Source organism: Homo sapiens, chromosome 3, assembly GCF_000001405.40.
Source record: "Homo sapiens chromosome 3, GRCh38.p14 Primary Assembly".
In the NCBI taxonomy this organism is placed as follows: domain Eukaryota; kingdom Metazoa; phylum Chordata; class Mammalia; order Primates; family Hominidae; genus Homo; species Homo sapiens.
In genome coordinates, this window is record NC_000003.12 from 53,647,479 (window position 1) to 53,665,271 (window position 17,793).

Here is a 17,793-nt window from a genome sequence, read left to right on the forward strand (position 1 = left end):
CTTCCATCAGTCGTGGCCACAGACCTCAGTGTCCTCTATGTGTCACCTCTCACCTAGCTGTTTTGGCTGGGCCCACAGTCCCACCTTGCCTGTTAGGAACCTGACTTTCTTGTTGGCTTCCTTTTCAAATTGTTAATTCAACATTCTTTTCTCAAATGAACAATCCTTTTGTAAGGCGAATAATTATCCCACTTCTCCTGAACGACGTTTTGCAAGATTTAAAAATAATACTTCATTTGTTGAATGTGGAGGGATACCTGTTTCATAGGATTCCTTTTTAGTGGCAGGATTGAGGACCGGGATGACATTGGCTTCTAGACAAACTGGTCTGCCTGCTCTCCAGGCTGTGATTGTTCAGTTGGCATCATGGTAGAATCTCTGTAATAAAGAATTGCATTAAAGGAAGTTTGTATTTCTTATGAAGAATCCCATCAAATAATTCACTAAGGATTTTGGAAAGAGAAACCAAATTCTTTAAAAAGCAGGGAGAGGGCAAAGGAGAAGGAAAAAGAACGTTAAACAGTTCATTTATACTAATGGCCCTTGTGTTATTGTGGCAAAATTTCTTCTAAATAAAAGTCAGAGAGGAAAAACAAGCTTTGTTTGGGAGGTGTACTGTCTGTTCTCTGCCTTGTTTTTCTGCTCTGAAGTATAGTGTGCTGTCTTGACGTAGGTATGTAACTGCTATGAATATTGATGGCAGCAAAAGCTTTTTTTTTTCTCTCTGGCCTAGTAAATAAAGCAGCAAGGATAAAAAGGGATGAATTGTAAAATCAGTGTGCTGTTTTTAGCTTCTCTGGTTCCCTTAGAACTCTTAAGTCTCAAACATATTGACAATCTGCCTTTGGTGGTCAGGGTCTGATGTGAGCACTGTGGGTTGGCATTTTCAGGGATTTTTGCCTCTGGTTGAAGTAACAGAGTTCCTTTTTCTTTGAGCTTTCAGAGTTAATGTTATGGCTTCATTGAGGCCTTCCTGTATCTTTCCCTCTATCCAGTGGCAATGCTGGTCCCTGCTCCTCAGAATACCGCAGTGGCCTGAGTGTGTGATCGTTCCTCCAGCAGCCACGCCTCGCATGCCTCCCGAGCAAGCACTCCTCTGGGGGATATGGCAGGGAATGGGGCAACGGGGAATCTGGACAGTAAGCAAGGAAGGGCATCCTCGTAGCTCTGAGCGTGGCATTTCATGTAGCTGTATGAAGGGCATGGGGGAAGAAGGCATGGGGGCATGGGATGAGCCTGGCTAAGAACAGGACTGGTCTGAAGTCTAGAGGGGGCATGAGTATAGAGGTTGGAGATGAGCTAGGCTTTCTAAATTAAATTATAAACACACTGATGCTGGCTAACTCTCAAAACACACACACACACACACACACACACACACACAATTCGTTCACTAGACTGTTATAATGGTGTTCTGAGGAGCAAAGGGAGCTTTGGAGGGCAAGTGTTTAGAAATGACAGGAACCACAACAGCCCTGTCCTTGGAAGGAAGCCCTGTTATATGACCAGTGAAGAGTGGAGAATGGGGGCAAAGACTGGGATGCATGGCCATGGCTGCATGGTGGTCAAGAGGGAGGATACCTGTGGCACGACAAAGGGATGTTCTGCCTGGCACGGCCGGTGACAGAGGGGAAGCGATTCTGGCAGCAGACAGCCGGAGCCCAGGGGCAGCACAGGCAAGGCTTCCATTTAAATGCACAAGGGTGTTGGGGATACTGCAAGCAAACATTTAATAGGTGACGGTTCCTCAAAGGGTCAGGCTTATGGGAATCATCCTAAAATTTGTGTTTTTAAAAATGTTTCTGAATATAAAGTGTTCTCTTCAGAAACATAAAATTTATTTTCAAATACACATTTGCCTATTGCATAAAAATATATAATAGTGATAATATATAGCAAAGTGCTTTTTTTCCCCCTGGAATCCGTTGTGAAAAGGCAGGGGTGGCCTGATGGGAGGGCTGAAGATAGAGAATCGCTCTTGTCAGTTACTACTTTTGTGACTCTTGAGAAATTCTCTGTGTGTACATTCAAAACTTCCCCCTCCACACACCTCCCCCCCACACCAACAGACTAAATGACAGGTACCATAGTGGGGACATTTTTCTGGCTCCTGGTACAGTGCCTGTCATTTAGAAGTGGTGTTCACGTGTTTCCTGAGCCTATTTTATTTTGACCTCTTGCCCTAGGCATTTTAATGAGTGAATTTCATGACCTCCATTTCTCTAAGGTATTGGTAACTTTTCGGGTCCCACTGATATTAGTATAGGACTCTATAGTTCATATTGGAAAGTTACAGTTGCTGATGATACTTTGTTATTTAAGTAGCTTCATGCCGAGGAATGCCTCTTGCAAAGTTAATTACACACATCTCTGTTGGTCCATGTTTCTATTGAAACTGAAGCTGTATAAAGAAAACATTTGTAAAAGAGGAAGGAGTCAAAGTTTTTAGACTTGCTGATTGGTATGTTTTCCACAGCTCATGGAGTTGCATGGGTTGGAACTGGAAAGGTTCTACGAGTCATTTAGCCCGTGAGCAGCACCTGTGAGGTCTGTGGCAGTCAGATGGGCATGGCTGCTGGGATGGATACTAGAGGAAAGGTCAGAGGCTCTGCCTAGGTTTCCTGGGAAAGTGCATGATGACCTGTCACAAGTTCAGCCGGGAGAGGCGGCATGCCAATAAGCAGGCAGGGTGTTTGCCATCCTGAATTTACTTCCCTTATTGTGTGGATGCAAAAACTTATATCCAGAGGAGGAGAAGGACTTGTCCAAGGTTACCTTGCTACTCAGTGACAAAGCTGACTGTGACTTCGAACTCAGACATAAACCCAAGAGGAAGAGAGGGTCAAAACAGATGCATCTTCATTTTTTCCAGAGGATGAATTTCTTCTGTTCAAAGACACCATTGGAATCTTTGTTGTACCCTTGTGCTTTTCTGGGCCTGATTTGGCAACCTCAGGAGGAAAGCATGCTGCGTTTTGCAAATGTGTGCAAATAACAAACATGCCTGTTATGTCCTAGGCAGACTCATCACACGCATTGGGGCAGTTGGCAAAATGCAGTCATGCAGCCTGGAACGAAAAGTGTTGCACACGTAGTTGCTTATGAGAAATTCAGTGTTAGAATGTAAATGCCTTCCTGGCCCAGGGGCAGTGTAATTGTTCCATTTCTCATAATGAAACTTTGTTTGGAGGGAAATGCTTATATGTCTAAGGTGTTGATTCTAATCTCTGTTCCTTTTTCTGTCTCCTCTTCCTCCCCTGCCCCTGCTTTTTTGGTATGTTTCTTTGTTTTTCTTCACAGGAAAAAGTAGAATATGCCTTCCTGATTATTTTTACAGTCGAGACATTTTTGAAGATTATAGCGTATGGATTATTGCTACATCCTAATGCTTATGTTAGGAATGGATGGAATTTACTGGATTTTGTTATAGTAATAGTAGGGTAAGTCTCTTTTACTTTGGGGAAATGTTGATTTGGAAAATGGGAGGTGGAGGTTGGGGGGGGTGGTGGTAACAAAACAGTCTTTTTAGGGAATGTGGTTGCTCTTTTATGCCAGCTGTTGCACCAGAACCTCTCAGGAGTTCTTTTAAGGCTGGTGATGCTGCTGTCAGTCTCTGGGCAGATACTAGTTTGAAATTCTCTCGTTGTTACTCCCGTTTTTAGTAACATGTTATAGAAGGGAGTCTGAACTCCTAATATGAGAGGCTTTACCTAACACGGTCTTGGATCTCCAGAAATAGACCAACCCTGTTGGTGATTAGAGTCAAATGAGTAGAGCTTTTAATACTTAGTGCCAATGTTAAGTTAAAAAAAGTAAAAAGTAATAAAACCTTCATAGCAGTAAGGTACTCTGCTATTTAACATCCCTTGAGCAAAGCTATTAATTTTCTTTTTTTTTTTTTTTTTTTTTTGCTGACTTGCGGGAGAAACTCTGGCATACTACTGTTCCATTTTAAATAATGAAACAAGTGTCTGGATAATGTCACGTATCTGGCATAAAATGAAATAAGCTAGAAAATGCAGAGAAGCAGGTGTTCCACCAAAATCCTGTTGCAGGAAGAAGACATCAGTAGTTTTAGTGAAAGGAGAATGTTAAAATAAAAAATAGTGGCCTGTGTTATTTTAGTCCTTCCACACCTGGAAATGTTGCCAGGAAGAGAAAAATGAATCCATGTTACAGGAATGCTGGGTCTTTGGACCAAATACCCATGTAGGAAGATAAGATATATCCTTTTTCCCAGTCTTAGTTATGCTAGCTGTAAAGTGAGTTGCTCCTCAAATTATGTTTCTGTAAATAGCCTCTCTGTTTTCATCTTCATGACTTCAGTGAACTGCCTTTTGCAGTTGAGCAAGGTGATTTTTCTTGTGGATTATCCTTTTATCATGAATCTTTTGCCTTTTCATTGGAGACTAATTCTGCTGGGTATTGGGAGAGTGGAATTGGTTGTGGGCCTTCCTAGGTCCTTTCAACCTAGGAAGTTAATATGAGATCCTAATTGCCCAGTGGGACAATTAGACTTGTGGGAAACAAGTTAGCTTTTCAAACCGCCCCCGCCGCCAATACATTGTCATTTAAGGCATCATTGCAAAAGAAGTGTACCAAAATGAACAGGTAGCAGATATGTGCCGTACTTTCCTGTATTTGGTGGACTCTGTCGAGGAATGGCAAGCCGAAGCCTTGCAGGTATGTTGGTTCTGGGATAATCTGGCTGTGCCTCTTCTGCCACTGGACTTTTTGTTCAGCTAGGAATGGAGATGCTTAGCCCCATTTCTTGCGTCACCGTGCTATGATCACCTCATATTTCTGCCTGGAGACATTTTTCACACTACAGCACAGCACAAGGACAGGGAACCAAGTGGAGCATGGTGGTCTTATTGAGTTAAGGAGACAGACAAGAGTTTGGGGAGGCAGAATAGGGGAGGGGAGGGAGCTATTTAGAGAAAGAGCTTCATAAATATGCCTTAGAGTACTCTTCAGTTTTGGCTGAGGGCTAAGCTACGCCTACACGGAGTTGTGAGTCCATGAGGCCAGGAAAGACCACTACTAGGGAAAAGAGAAAGATCAGGGAGCTGTAAAATGAATAATAACCAGGGCTCACAAAGGACTGGAAGGCATTCAAATTCTGACTAATTAGGGTGGAAAGACCTCATTGAACACCCTGGACTGTCAGTAGAGACCCCACAGGGCCACTGGTAGTAGTGCTAAACTGGCTCTAGAGCAGGGGCTGGCAAACTGTGGCCAATGGGCTAAGTCCTAGCCCATCTAGCCTGCCACCTATTTTTATAAATAAAGTTTTATTGTAACATGGCCACACTCATTTGTTTACATAGTTCAGTTTGAGTAGTTTAGGTCTACAAAACCTAAAATATTTAAATATTTACTATTTGGCCTTTTACAGAAAAAGTTTGCCAATTGCTGCTCTAGAGTACAGAGACTACCTGAAATCCTTGCTTACAATGTTTGAAAAGAAGTCTGAAAAGAAGCAAACTAGGCTGGGCATGGTGGCTCATGCCTATAATCCCAGCACTTTGGGAGGCCGAGGTGGGTGGATCACCTGAGGTCGGGAGTTCAAGACCAGCATGGCCAACATGGTGAAACCCCCTGTCTACTAAAAATGCAAATATTATCTGGGTGTGGTGGCGCATGCCTGTAATCCCGGCTACATGGGAGGCTGAGGCAAGAGAATCGCTTGAACCTGGGAGGCAGGGGTTGCAGTGAGCCAAAACCATGCCACTGCACTCCAACCTGGGTGACAGAGTGAGACTCCATTTCAAAAAAAAAAGCAAACTGATATGCTAACTGAACTGCCTGCCAGAACATAACTCAACATTCTTTAAAGGAAGACAACAAAATCCAGACACTGAACATATGAAGAAATGTGACCCATAACCAGGAGGAAACTCCGTCAGTAGAAACAGATCCTGAAATGACAGAGATGATGGAATTAGAGAAGGACTTCACAAAGCTTTAAAAACTGCTGTTATAAATTTATGGACTTAAAGGGATACCTGATTATAGTAAGGAAAGATGGGACAATATAAAAAAAAACAAATGGAACTTTAAGAGATGAAAAATATATCCAAAATGAAAAATTCTCTGGTTTGGCTTAACCTCAGCTTAAACACTATAGAAGGAAAAAATATCAGGGAATTTGAACATATGGCAATAACATGAAGAATAATGATTGAGGAGAAAATGAATACTGCCTCTGTGGCCTGTGGGGGAATAACAAGTGGTCTAACATATATATATATTTGGAGCCTCAGAAGGAGAGGAGAGAAAGAGGAGACAGAAAAAAAATTTTGAAGAAACAGCTCCAGATTTTCCAAATGTGATGAAAAATGAAACTCACAAGAAGCTCAGCAAAGCCTGAGCAAAATAAACATGAAAAAAGCCACATCAAGCACATCATAATTGTAATCAAATTGTTAAAAACCAAAGATAAGGAGAAAACCTTAAAACAGAGAAAAGAAAATCTCAGACTATTTGTCAACAACTATGCAAGCCAGAAGACAATAGAGAGACATCTTTAAAGTACTGGGGAAAAATGTCAACCTAGGATTCTCACTCAGTAAAATATCTTTCAGAGTTAAAGTCAAAATCAAAATTTTTTCAGACATTCTAGAGTTTCAGAATTCATGACTAATAGACCTGTACCTCAATCAGTGTTAAAGACAGTTCCTCAGGGCTGAAGGAAAATGACACGAGGTAGAAAAGTGGATCTACACAGAAAGAAATGAAGAGTACCAGAAAGTGGCTCTACACAAAAAAGAATGAAGAGTACCAGAAAGGGTAAATACGTGGGTACATATACAGATATTTCTCCCCTCGTTTAAAAATTTCTTTAAAGGTAATTATTTAAAGCAAAAATAATAACAGTGTATTGTGGTGTCTATAGCTTCTATAGAAATAAAGTACATGACAATGGTAGCATGAAGAATAGGAACAGGGAAATAGCCATATGGTCTTGTGATGTACTTATACAGTAGTTGGAATGATTAAATATTATCTGAAGATAGACTGTGATACCTTTAAGATGTATATTGTAAACCCTAGAGTATGGATTGGTGAGCTACAACCTGTAGACCAAATCTAGTTTGAGCCTTTTTTTCCCCCACCATTGACAAAGTATTTTATTTACTGCCTACTTTGGCAAATAAAGCTTCATTGTAATTCAGCCACATTCAGTCATGCCTATGGCTATTTGGTATTATAATGGCAAAGTTGGGTAGTTGTGACAAACCCTATGGCCTGCAGATTCTAAAATATTTACTATTCGGCACTTTATAGAAAATGTTTACTGACACTTGCCTTAGAGAAGCCACTAAAAAAGAAAATCCCAGGTCTATCTAATAAGCCTATTGTAGAGATTAAATGGAATTTAAAAAAAACCCCTAAATCCAAAACAGGCAAGGAAGAAGAAAAAAGGAACAAAGGACAGGACAAATAGAAAACAAACGGCAAGTTGCTAGATTTAAACCTAGGTAAATCCTTATTAAAATCATTATCATGAAGAAAGGATAATGGCCTTTCTTTGTGTCCATGTGTTCTCATCATTTAGCTCCTACTTATAAGTGAGAACGTGTGGTATTTGGTTTTTTGTTCCTGCGTTAGTTTGCTAAGGATAATGGCCTCCAGCTCCATCCACGTGCCCACAAAAGAAATGATCTTGTCCTTTTTTATGACTGCATAGTATTCCTTGGTGTATGTGTATCACATTTTCTTTATCCAATCTGTATTGATGGGCATGTAGGTTGATTCCATGTCTTTGCTATTGTGAATAGTGCCACAGTGAACATTAACATGCATGTGTCTTTATGGTAGAATGGTTTATTTTTCTCTGGGTGTGTACCCAGTAATGGGATTTCTGGGTCAAGTGGTAGTTCTGTTGTTAGCTCTTTGAGGAATTGATACACTGCTTTCCACAATGGATGAACTAGTTCACACTCCCACCAACAGTGTATAAGCATTCCCTTTTCTCTGCAACCTCGTCAGCATCTGTTATTTTTTGACTTTTTAAGAGTAGCCATTTTAACTGGTGTGAAATGGTATCTCGTGGTTTTGATTTGCACTTCTCTAACGATCAGTAATATGAACTTTTTAAAATATGCTTCTTGACCACATGTATGTCTTTTGAATAGTATCTCTTCATGTCCTTTGCTGACTTTTTAATGGGATTTTTCTTTTTTTCTTGAGAAGTTGTTTGAGTTCCTTATAGATGTTGGATATTAGACCTTTGTCTCTCATTCTGTAGGTTGTCTTTTTACCCTGTTTCTTTTGTTGTGCAGAAGCTCTTAAGTTTAATTAGGCCCATATGTCAGGTTTTGCTTTTGTTGTGATTGCTTTTGGCATCTTAGTCATGAAATCCTTGCTCATTCCTATGTCCAGAATGGTATTGCCTAGGTTGTCTTCCAGGGTTTTTTATAGTTTTGGGTTTTACATTTAAGTCTTTAATCCATCTTGAGTTGATTTTTGTATATAGTATAAGAAAAGGGTCCAGTTTCAATCTTGTGCATATGGCTTGCCAGTTATCCCAGCATGGTTTATTGAATAGGGAGTCCTTTCCCCATTGCTTGTTTTTGTCACCTTTGTCGAAGATCAGATGGTCGTAGGTGTGTGGCCTTATTTCTGGGCTCTCTGCTATGTTCTGTTGGTCTGTGTGTCTGTTTTTGTATGAGCACCATGCTGTTTTGGTTACTGCAGCCCTGTATTATAATTTGAAGTCAAGTAGTGTGACACTTCCAGCTTTGTTGTTTTGCTTAGGATTGCCTTGGCCATCCAGGCTCCTTTTTTGTTCCATATGAATTAAAAAAATTTTTTTTCTAGTTATGTGAAGAATGTCATTGGTGGTTTGATAGGAATAACATTGAATCTGTAAATTGCTTTGGGCAGTATGGCTAATTAATTGATATTGAGTCTTCCTATTTGTGAGCATGGTATGTTTTTCCATTTGTTTGTGTCATGTCTGATTTCTTTGAGCAGTGTAAAACCATGAAATTTATAGTAGAAAATATTGGATAAAATCTTTATGACCTCAGTGTAGCCAGAGATGTCTCGGGACACAAAAAGCTCCAGCCATGAAACAGTAATTGAAAATGTTGACTTTATCAAAATTTAAAACTTTTCTTCAAAAGACAGTGTGAAGACAATGAAAAAGCAAGGCACAGATTGTGAAAAATATTCACAATACATACACTTGTATTCAGAATATATAAAGAACTCTTACAACCCAATAGTAAGAAGACAACCCAATAAACAAATAGGTAAAAGATTTGAACAGATCTTCACAAAAGAAGATATGTGAATCATCAACAAACATCTGAAAAGATGCTCAACATTGTTAGTAATTAGAGAAATGCAAATTAAAACTACAGTGACAGTACTGCATACCCACTAGTATTACTAAATGTAAAAAGACTGAACATACCAAGTCTTAACCAAAATATGGAACAACTGGAACTCTCATACACCACTTGTAGAAATGGAAAATGGTATAATCACTTTGGAAAAAATGCGCCCATTTCTTACAGTGTTAAACATAGACTTACCATATGACCATATTACCAGTTCTACTCTTAGGTGTTTATCCAAGAAAAATGAAAACACATGTCCCCAAAAAAACTTTATTCATAATAGAGAAAAACTGGAAGCAACCCATATATCCCTCAACGGGCGAATGGATAAACTCATTGTGATGTATTTGTGTAATGGGATATTACAGAACAACAAAAAGAAATGAACTGCTGATAAAACAACGTGGATGAGTGTCAGAAACATTATGGTGAGCAAAAGAAGATGAGCCAGGAGAACATACTATGTGATTCCATTTATATGAGTTCTAGAAAAAGAAAAAAAAAAACTCTACCGATAAACAGCCAATCACTGGATACTCAAGGCTGAGCTTCAAGGGAAGCTCTGTACAAGGCTGTGCAAAAGGGGCACAAGAGAATCATTTAAAATGTTGAAACCTTCCCTATCTTGATCATGGTGTTTGTTGCTTAGGCTTATGCATTTTTCAAAACCCATTGTACACTTTAAATGAGTGTGTTTTATTATAGATAAATTAAACTGCAATATAAAGTGATTTAAAATGCAAAAAAAAGGAAACTGAAGTAGAACTGGACTCTAAGAAAAACTTCAGAACATCAGATTATTTTTTATCTAAAATATGTATGAAATTGGAGTCAAAGAACAGAAGAAAGGTTTTAAAAAAGAAAAGGAAGAATTATGATGTCTTCATTTGAATCAAATTCCTACTCACTACAGTTTCCAACTACAGTCTGTATCTCAATCCACTGGATTTTTCCATTCCAACAGTGACCTATTGCTTTTGTCAAGATTCCCAATAGTCAAGACATTAAGAAAGTAATTGATATTTCTAAAATGTTAACTGTTAATGTGACCACAAGAGGACTCAGTGTGTCTGCCAGAGCTGAAGTTATTCCTTTAGAGAAAAGTTTGATCTAAGCCAACTCTTATCCCATGCCTCCAAATTTCAATAAAGATATATTTCAAGCATTCAGGCTCTATTACTTAAGCTTTTTTTGAAGAACGTGAAGGCTTGTATGTGACTCCTCATTCTGGTGCTTCTGACTTTAGTCAGTTTAGACAGCTCCTTGTCTTTTTTCTCCCACCTTGGGGTAAACTTTTAATAACAATCTAGAGTCAGTTACTCCTTTCTCATCCTGTCCTTATCTCTTCAGGCCCGTGGCACTTTTTTTTTTTTTGAGAGGCGTGGTGGTGAGGAACAGAATCACGGAATATTAGAGTGGAAAGGTCATTCTCTGAGTCGTTAAATCCAGTTTTGTCATTTTATAGAGAGGAGAACTGAGGCCCAGAGAAGGAGAGGGACTTTCCTAATATCTCATAACTCTTAGGAGTGGAAACCAGCCCCGGCCCCTTGCAGCCCTGCACTGTGTGGGAACACAGCCTGCTTCTCTCTCTGACTTGGCCTCTTTGGTGGCAAGAGAGAGACATTTTTCATGTGTTTTCAAGGACATTGCTGAAGAACAAGGAATAAAGGGACCATGATGTATATGTTGCAAAACATGGATACTTGAAAGCAGTCTTCAGTCACTACCTGCATAAATTACTTTGCTAACCCTTTGGGGTGAAAATTCCTGTGGCTTGCACATTTCAGAAGAGTTTGAGGTTTTCTTTCTTTCTTTTTCTTTGTTTTTCTGAAGCTATGAATTTGTTTTGGAGGAGAGACTTTTCACTTTAGCCTTGCTGCAGGGATTTACAGTAATCTTTTAAAAACTATGCTGAAGAGAGAGAAGCCTGTCATAAATTTGATCTATTTCCTCAGTCATAACTAGGGAGAGCTCACCATCTGAAGCTTTGTAAAGGTAGAGACCGGGCTTGTTTTCCCTCCTGGCTGGGTTCGTTGCTAATTGCTGTACTGTTATTAAAACAAAGGGCTGATCTATAAATGCCCCAGAACTACACAACTATACCCAATCAGGGCTGTAATCAGACCACCCGATGTTTTATGGACTCGGTGTCTTGGCAATCCAGAGGCACGCCAGTGGGGGCAGTTTCTGCTTTGTCTGCTCATTAAACTTTGGACACCTTTTCTTTGTTGCTGGGCCAGTCATTCCCACAATCTGATTGGCCAGAGTTGATGCTGTTTGAAATGGGCAAATTTTATACTTACTCTGAAAAACGAGCAATAATTCCAAAGAGTATTTGTTTAAAAGAGCAAAAGTCACTGTTAAATGAGCAGATTGCCTGAAAATAGATTTATCTGAACGTTCTGAGACTAGGAAAAAATTTATTGTGGCTGCCAGGTACAATATTATTCACATTTCAAGAGAGAGAATGATGATATTAATACCTTACCTTAGGTAACTGCCTTTAGCCTTTGCACAGCTCCTTAGTATCTGTGATTTACATCCTCCAAATATCCCTATGAAGGTGAAGGTTGGGGTGTGTGTGTTAGTGACTACATTGACTACATATAACATATTAAGATGTGAGACTTTGAAGTCATTCATTGATTGATTCATCAGATATTTTTGGAGTACTTCCTATGTGTCAGATACTGTAATAGGCACTAGACTAGAACAGACCACATGCACAAATGAGCAGAACAGACTAAAACTCCTTGCTGTTACAGAACCTGTGTTCTAGTGGGGTCCACATGCCTGTGTTTACATGTGTTGCTGCTAGTTGTGTGACCTTGGGCAAGCTACTTATTCCTATCGAGTTTGTTTTCTCGTGTGTAACATGGTGTTCATAATTGCTGCTGCATAACATTTTGTGAGAATTAATGTGACAATGTATGTGCAGTGCTTAGCACATAGCAAGTGCTCATGAATGGTAGCCACCAAGATGGCTGTTGTCATTTTAGTTTGCAGCAGTTCCACTTGTCATCATTGAGTTCCCAGGGAGTCCCCTCTTCTTTGGGAACAGACTTGCTCTCTGTTGCTCCATTGCGGTAAAAACAGATGAGGTTAATCCCTGTCCCAATCATTTTGGAGATGGCGTCGTTTGTATTCCAATTCCACAGCCCAGTTCTTGTCTTTGTCTTCCTTTTATTTAAGCAGCAGCCACACAGAATTAGCCCTTTTCAAAAATAAATAAGATTATCATCCTGTTTTGCGTCCCTGGGGTAACAGACTCTAACATTTCTTTCTCTTTCTCTTCTTTCAGATTGTTTAGTGTAATTTTGGAACAATTAACCAAAGAAACAGAAGGCGGGAACCACTCAAGCGGCAAATCTGGAGGCTTTGATGTCAAAGCCCTCCGTGCCTTTCGAGTGTTGCGACCACTTCGACTAGTGTCAGGAGTGCCCAGTAAGCACTTATTGTTTCCTAGAGTCAGGAGTGTGCTGGTTTTTTCTTCCAGGTGGGTTTCAGAATCACTGGTGCTTTGAGGTGAGTTGCTCTGTGCCAGCCAGGGGTCAGCAGATGACCATGGCCTCCTTCACAGTTGACAGGACACTTTGGCTTGCACTGTCACGTTGGATCCCCATGACAGAATGACAGGCAGTTATTGTCATTCTGATTTTGTGGACGAAAGAATCTTCTCTTGCAGAAAGACAAGGTGAGGTGTTGGGGTGAGACCTTGGGTTCAGGCCTTTAATTCCAGTCTATTTTTCCTCTCTGGCAACATGCTGCCATCCACGCCTCCACTCCCAGGCCTGCCCCTCTGAAAGTGGTGGGTTTGTGGATGAGGGTGTTGGAGTACTTAGCTGCGTGCCTTTTTTTTTTTCCCCAAATGGGGAGCATCAGAGGGATGGACTCCTGGAAACTCTGATTAGATCCTCTACTATCAGGAACTGTGCTACCCAGCTCTGGGGGAAGGGATGAATGCTTCTTACCTGGTGACAGGGCACAGGAGTACCTGCCTTGAAGGCTGTTGTGAGAACTGAGTGAGATAATGGAGGGAGAGCCCCTAACAGGATGTCTGGAGCACAGAGGCTCTCAGTGGGTGAGAGAGAGAGTTTTAGCCGTTAGGCCCTACCATACCACTCAGTGCCAGGCCCCAGTGTGCTTCTGGCTCCAGGCCCCCAGGCCAGGTTAAATCATACCTGAGTTGGAATAGATGCCCTGTCTGTGCCCTGGCCAACAGCTGCAGCCTCTTATCCTTCCATAAGGTGTTTGGGGTTGCCTCACTGGGCTCTGCCCCTGATAGGACTCCTGTGTTGGGGACTTCCATGGGTAGAAGTCCTAACACCTTTCTGAGGGCTGGTGCGTCTGAGCAAGAATATGGGATTGCAGGGTGTGCCTGTTTTTCACAACTCATAAAGCCATCAGAAGAACACAGATCACATTTTTTGCCTCTCCAGAAGTTCTTCATGAAATTTTTATTAAATTTGTTGGCACTTAGAATGCACCAAAAATCCTCTGGAAAAAAAAATTTCCAAATTTAACATTTTAAAATGTAGGAAGTGGTGTTTTATGTGTACTTGTTTTTCCAGATGGTTCATTTATTTTCATTGAAAAAGATCAGCACAAGTCAAAACCACAGAACTGTGTGGAATCAATTGAGAAAAACAGAAATACCTTGGAAATGACTGGCTCTGTTAAGTGTAACACGATTAAATGAGAAGTTCAGTGAGCAAACATGTTCTTCCAGATTTAGTTGTTATAGCTTAATCTAATTTCAAAGTAACCACGACAGCTTTTTCCCCCAAAGAGCAAATAACAGGACAGCCTGTCTATGGTATGTGTTGTGTGCAGACTTTGGGGGCTGTGGCTGTGTGCGTGTGTGCGTGCGAGCTTCTGGCCAGTGAAAAATCCAAGAACTCACATAGCATTGTGTCTGCTTCCTTGGCTAATGAGGTTTTTACTAAACTAGTGCAGTGCTCCTAGATATTGAGAATTAGTTTTAAACTGTATTTCTTCCTTTCCCCAACAGACATCACTGTTTGAAATTTGATAGGGAGATTTGTATGTAACTCTCCCCCAGGTCAGCAGGGAAAAATGTGAGTCTGAGTCTTGTATGAGGACTTTTGAGCTTATATTTTTAACCACCTAGGTAGGGAACATCCCAGTCTCTCATCAAACTCAAATAGGCTTTTGAAGAAAAGGATCAGAGGTTGTCGGATGTGCTGTTTCTAGTGCTGGTTGGCAGCCGTGGCCTGCTGATTTCTTCTCTAGTACTTGAAGTTGTTAAAAATGTCCAGGAATGTTTGACTGTTTACACTTATCTTGGAATTGTTTAGTCCCTGCTAAAGAGAATCCAGACTGTTCTGTAAGACATAATTTTGTGTGCATGTGTGTATGGAAATATATATTCATTCAGTGAAAGGTAAATTTATTTCACAAGGTGGTGAATCAGGCATTTGTGGAGTTCTTAAGCACCCACATTAAGAGACTGAGGGAGAATGGGCAGGAACCGAGAACCCACCCTGGAGACCAGGCCTTCTGACCCCTGTGTTGACGTCCCCCATTCTCTCCACAGCCCCGCGACCTCAGCACTACTGTGCTGCTCACTGTTTAACTTCTTACCTTCTCTTTCCCTGTCCTTCCGTGTTGGACAGGGAAACATTTATCAAAGTTCAAGACCATCAAAGTGGAAAAGAATCCTAAAGATCATCTGGTCTACCTGCATCTTTTAGACAAGGAAACTGAGGCCTGTTGGAGGTAGTGACTAGTGTAAGTTCTCACAGCTAGTGAGTAGCCAGACAGAACCAGACCCACGATCTCCACATTTCTGACCCGGTGTTCTTCCCACTTCTGCCTCCTTGACTAGAGTCCCATGAGATCCACTGAGATCTACCGTACATGTTGATTATGTACAAAGGAGCGGAATGCAATAAAGTATACATGTTCACAGTCGGATACAACTTTATCATCTCATAAATGTGACAAATCTGAAATACAGTAGTTACTCTAAATGTAAAAAATATTCACAAAGCTTACTGCCATGGAATTTAGAAGAGCTAACTGCTGGGGGTTAGTTTTGCATGGCCCATTGGTGTCTCAAGAAAACCAAAACAATGATAGAAACCTGGCCATGGGGATTGGAACGGGTGTCGTCTTTTCCTTTCCATGTGTTCCTTGTAGGAGGTAAAAATATTGAAAATCATCCTAATTGATCATTTTTGAAAAAACCATGTGGACATTTACATATCCAAAGATGTAGCACCCAGAGTTTTAGTTGTAATAGAGGTTGTAGCAAGGCAGGGTCGTGCTGAGTCTGAAATCCTCTTACTGCTCTTCCCTCACCATCCTCTCCCCTGCCTCCTCCTGTGCTGCTTATCACGGTAAAGATTTGTCATTATTGCTAAGTCTTCTCTTTGCTTGCTGTATTCTGGTTTCCGATGTAAGCATCTCAGCTTCTTGCATTCTTTCTTTCCTGACTATGTATTGGGAAAGTGAGATGATAGCAGAAGATGGAAAGTTTGAAGGTGGAGAGACAACAGGGAAGGACAGGGAAGGAGAAGGTAAGAAGGAAAAGAGTGAGCAGCACAGTCGTGCTGAGGTCGTGGGGCCATGGAGAGGATGGGGGATGCCAATGCAAGGTCAGGAGGCCTGGTCTCCAGGGCAGGTTCTGGATTCCTGCCCATTCTCCCTCAGTCTCTTGGTTCCTCACAACCAATCCTAATCCTGAGTGCTGCCCCCATCCTTCTTTTCATGACCTCTTTTTCTGTCCCTTGGCGGGTAGCCTTACCCACACTCTGGCACTGAGTATGACTCCATGGGTAGCTTCTATTAGGTTGGTGTGAACGTAATTGCGGTTTTTGCCATTGAAAGTAATGGGTCTGAGTCTGAGGATTTCAGACTCAGCAAGACCCTGTCTTCCTAAGACCTCCATGGCAGCAAAAGTTTTAAATGTAGGAAATAATCGTCTCTCTCTCTCTCTCTCTCTTTTTTTTGGAGACGAAGTCTTGCTCTGTCACCCAGACTGGAGTTGCAACCTCCACCTCCCAGGTTCAAGTGATTCCCCCACCTCAGTCTCCCGAGTAGCTGGGACTACAGGCGCACACCGCCACACCCAACTAATTTTTGTATTTTTGGTAGAGATGGGGTTTCATCATGTTGGCCAGGCTGGTCTCGAACTCCTGACCTCAAGTGATCCATCTGCCTCGGCCTCCCAAAGTGCTGGGATTACAGGCGTGAGCTACCTCACAAGGGCAGAAGTAATCATTTCTCATGTGCCTGTCTCTCAAGACCACATTTCAGCTTCAGGACACGTCTACCTTAATGTTACATAATACCAACATCATACTTAACAAGGCTCAAGTCAGTCTCAACCTCCCCCTTCCCCTCCCACCTCCCTCATTCCTGGAGAACCTCCCTTTGGAATGCTTAGTTTTGTTGGGGACACTGGGATTTTGCCTCAAGACCCTGGCTCAAATAACTGGTGTGCTCCATAGGTACCTTCCTCTCATTCTGACTCAGTTGCTGAGTTCTGGTCTCATCCTGATCTTCACCCTCACCTACCCCAGCATTCTTGAACTACCTCTCTGTGTGTCTGGCCTGCTGCTGTCCTGTTGGTCTTTCTAAAGCAGCTGCCTTTTGCTAGTGATCTAAAGTTTGGCTTCATGACCTGGATTCAACACCCACAACCCTGGCTGCAATCTACTTTTCTTTCGTGATTTTCTTTTCCACTAACCACCAATCAAGACTCACCACCCTCAAGCCCATACTGTGCTACTCTCCTCTGTGCTTTTGGTACTCTGTTCTTCTTCCCTGAAGTTGCCTCTCTCCCATGCCCACCTGTGGAAATCCACCCCACCTGGCCTTTGGGCTGTGCCCAGAGAGAAGCTGCCTCAGGACCCTTTCTTCACCCCATTCATCCCTACTTGTCACCTGCATGGACCTTGGGGGACTGAACAAAGGATGATGAACATGGGAATAAAGACAAAGACAAAAGAGTATATTTGGAAGAAGGGGTCAGGGGGCTCCTTGCTTCTAGTGAACAAGAGCCCTGAGCTTCAGAGCCTTTCACATTTTACTGGGTAAAGGAGATAGGGAGAGAGGGGAGTTGTTGTCGGTCAGCAGCTTGATTTACAGCAGACTTGCAAGACTGCATTCTTCTAACAACAGGCTCTAGATGTCCCAGTAGATAACCTCAATGAGCACGGTGCCAGGGAGTGATTGCCCTCAGCAAACCTGGCGGTAGGCACAGTCGTGAGTTTGCCCACATCCTGCATTCATGATAAACAGTTTGCTGTTTGATCATATAGCCTCCAGTGGAATGCTGAGTTGGTCACAATCCCTTTGGCCTTTTCAACTCCCAACACCTATTAATTTTAACTATTGGGATATTTATATAGCATCTATGTGCTACCCCAGGGTAGAGTTATTTGTGTTTAATTCTATGTCTCCTAGAATATAA

At 41.5% G+C, this 17,793-nt stretch overlaps 1 protein-coding gene across 22 annotated transcripts in view; it reads left to right on the plus strand.

The window, feature by feature from the left end:
* The window catches only part of CACNA1D (calcium voltage-gated channel subunit alpha1 D), a 319,123-nt gene that overhangs the window by 152,868 nt on the left and 148,462 nt on the right, over window positions 1-17,793 (plus strand). For 21 of the 22 annotated variants that reach the window (NM_001128840.3, NM_001128839.3, NM_000720.4 and 18 more), the window contains 2 exons: window positions 3,301-3,440; window positions 12,655-12,797. In NM_001128840.3, the coding sequence (NP_001122312.1) occupies window positions 3,301-3,440; window positions 12,655-12,797 (283 nt within the window). Of the gene's footprint in view, window positions 1-3,300; window positions 3,441-12,654; window positions 13,048-17,793 lie in introns of those variants that run through there. The other variant, XM_011534099.3, reaches the window with a different exon arrangement.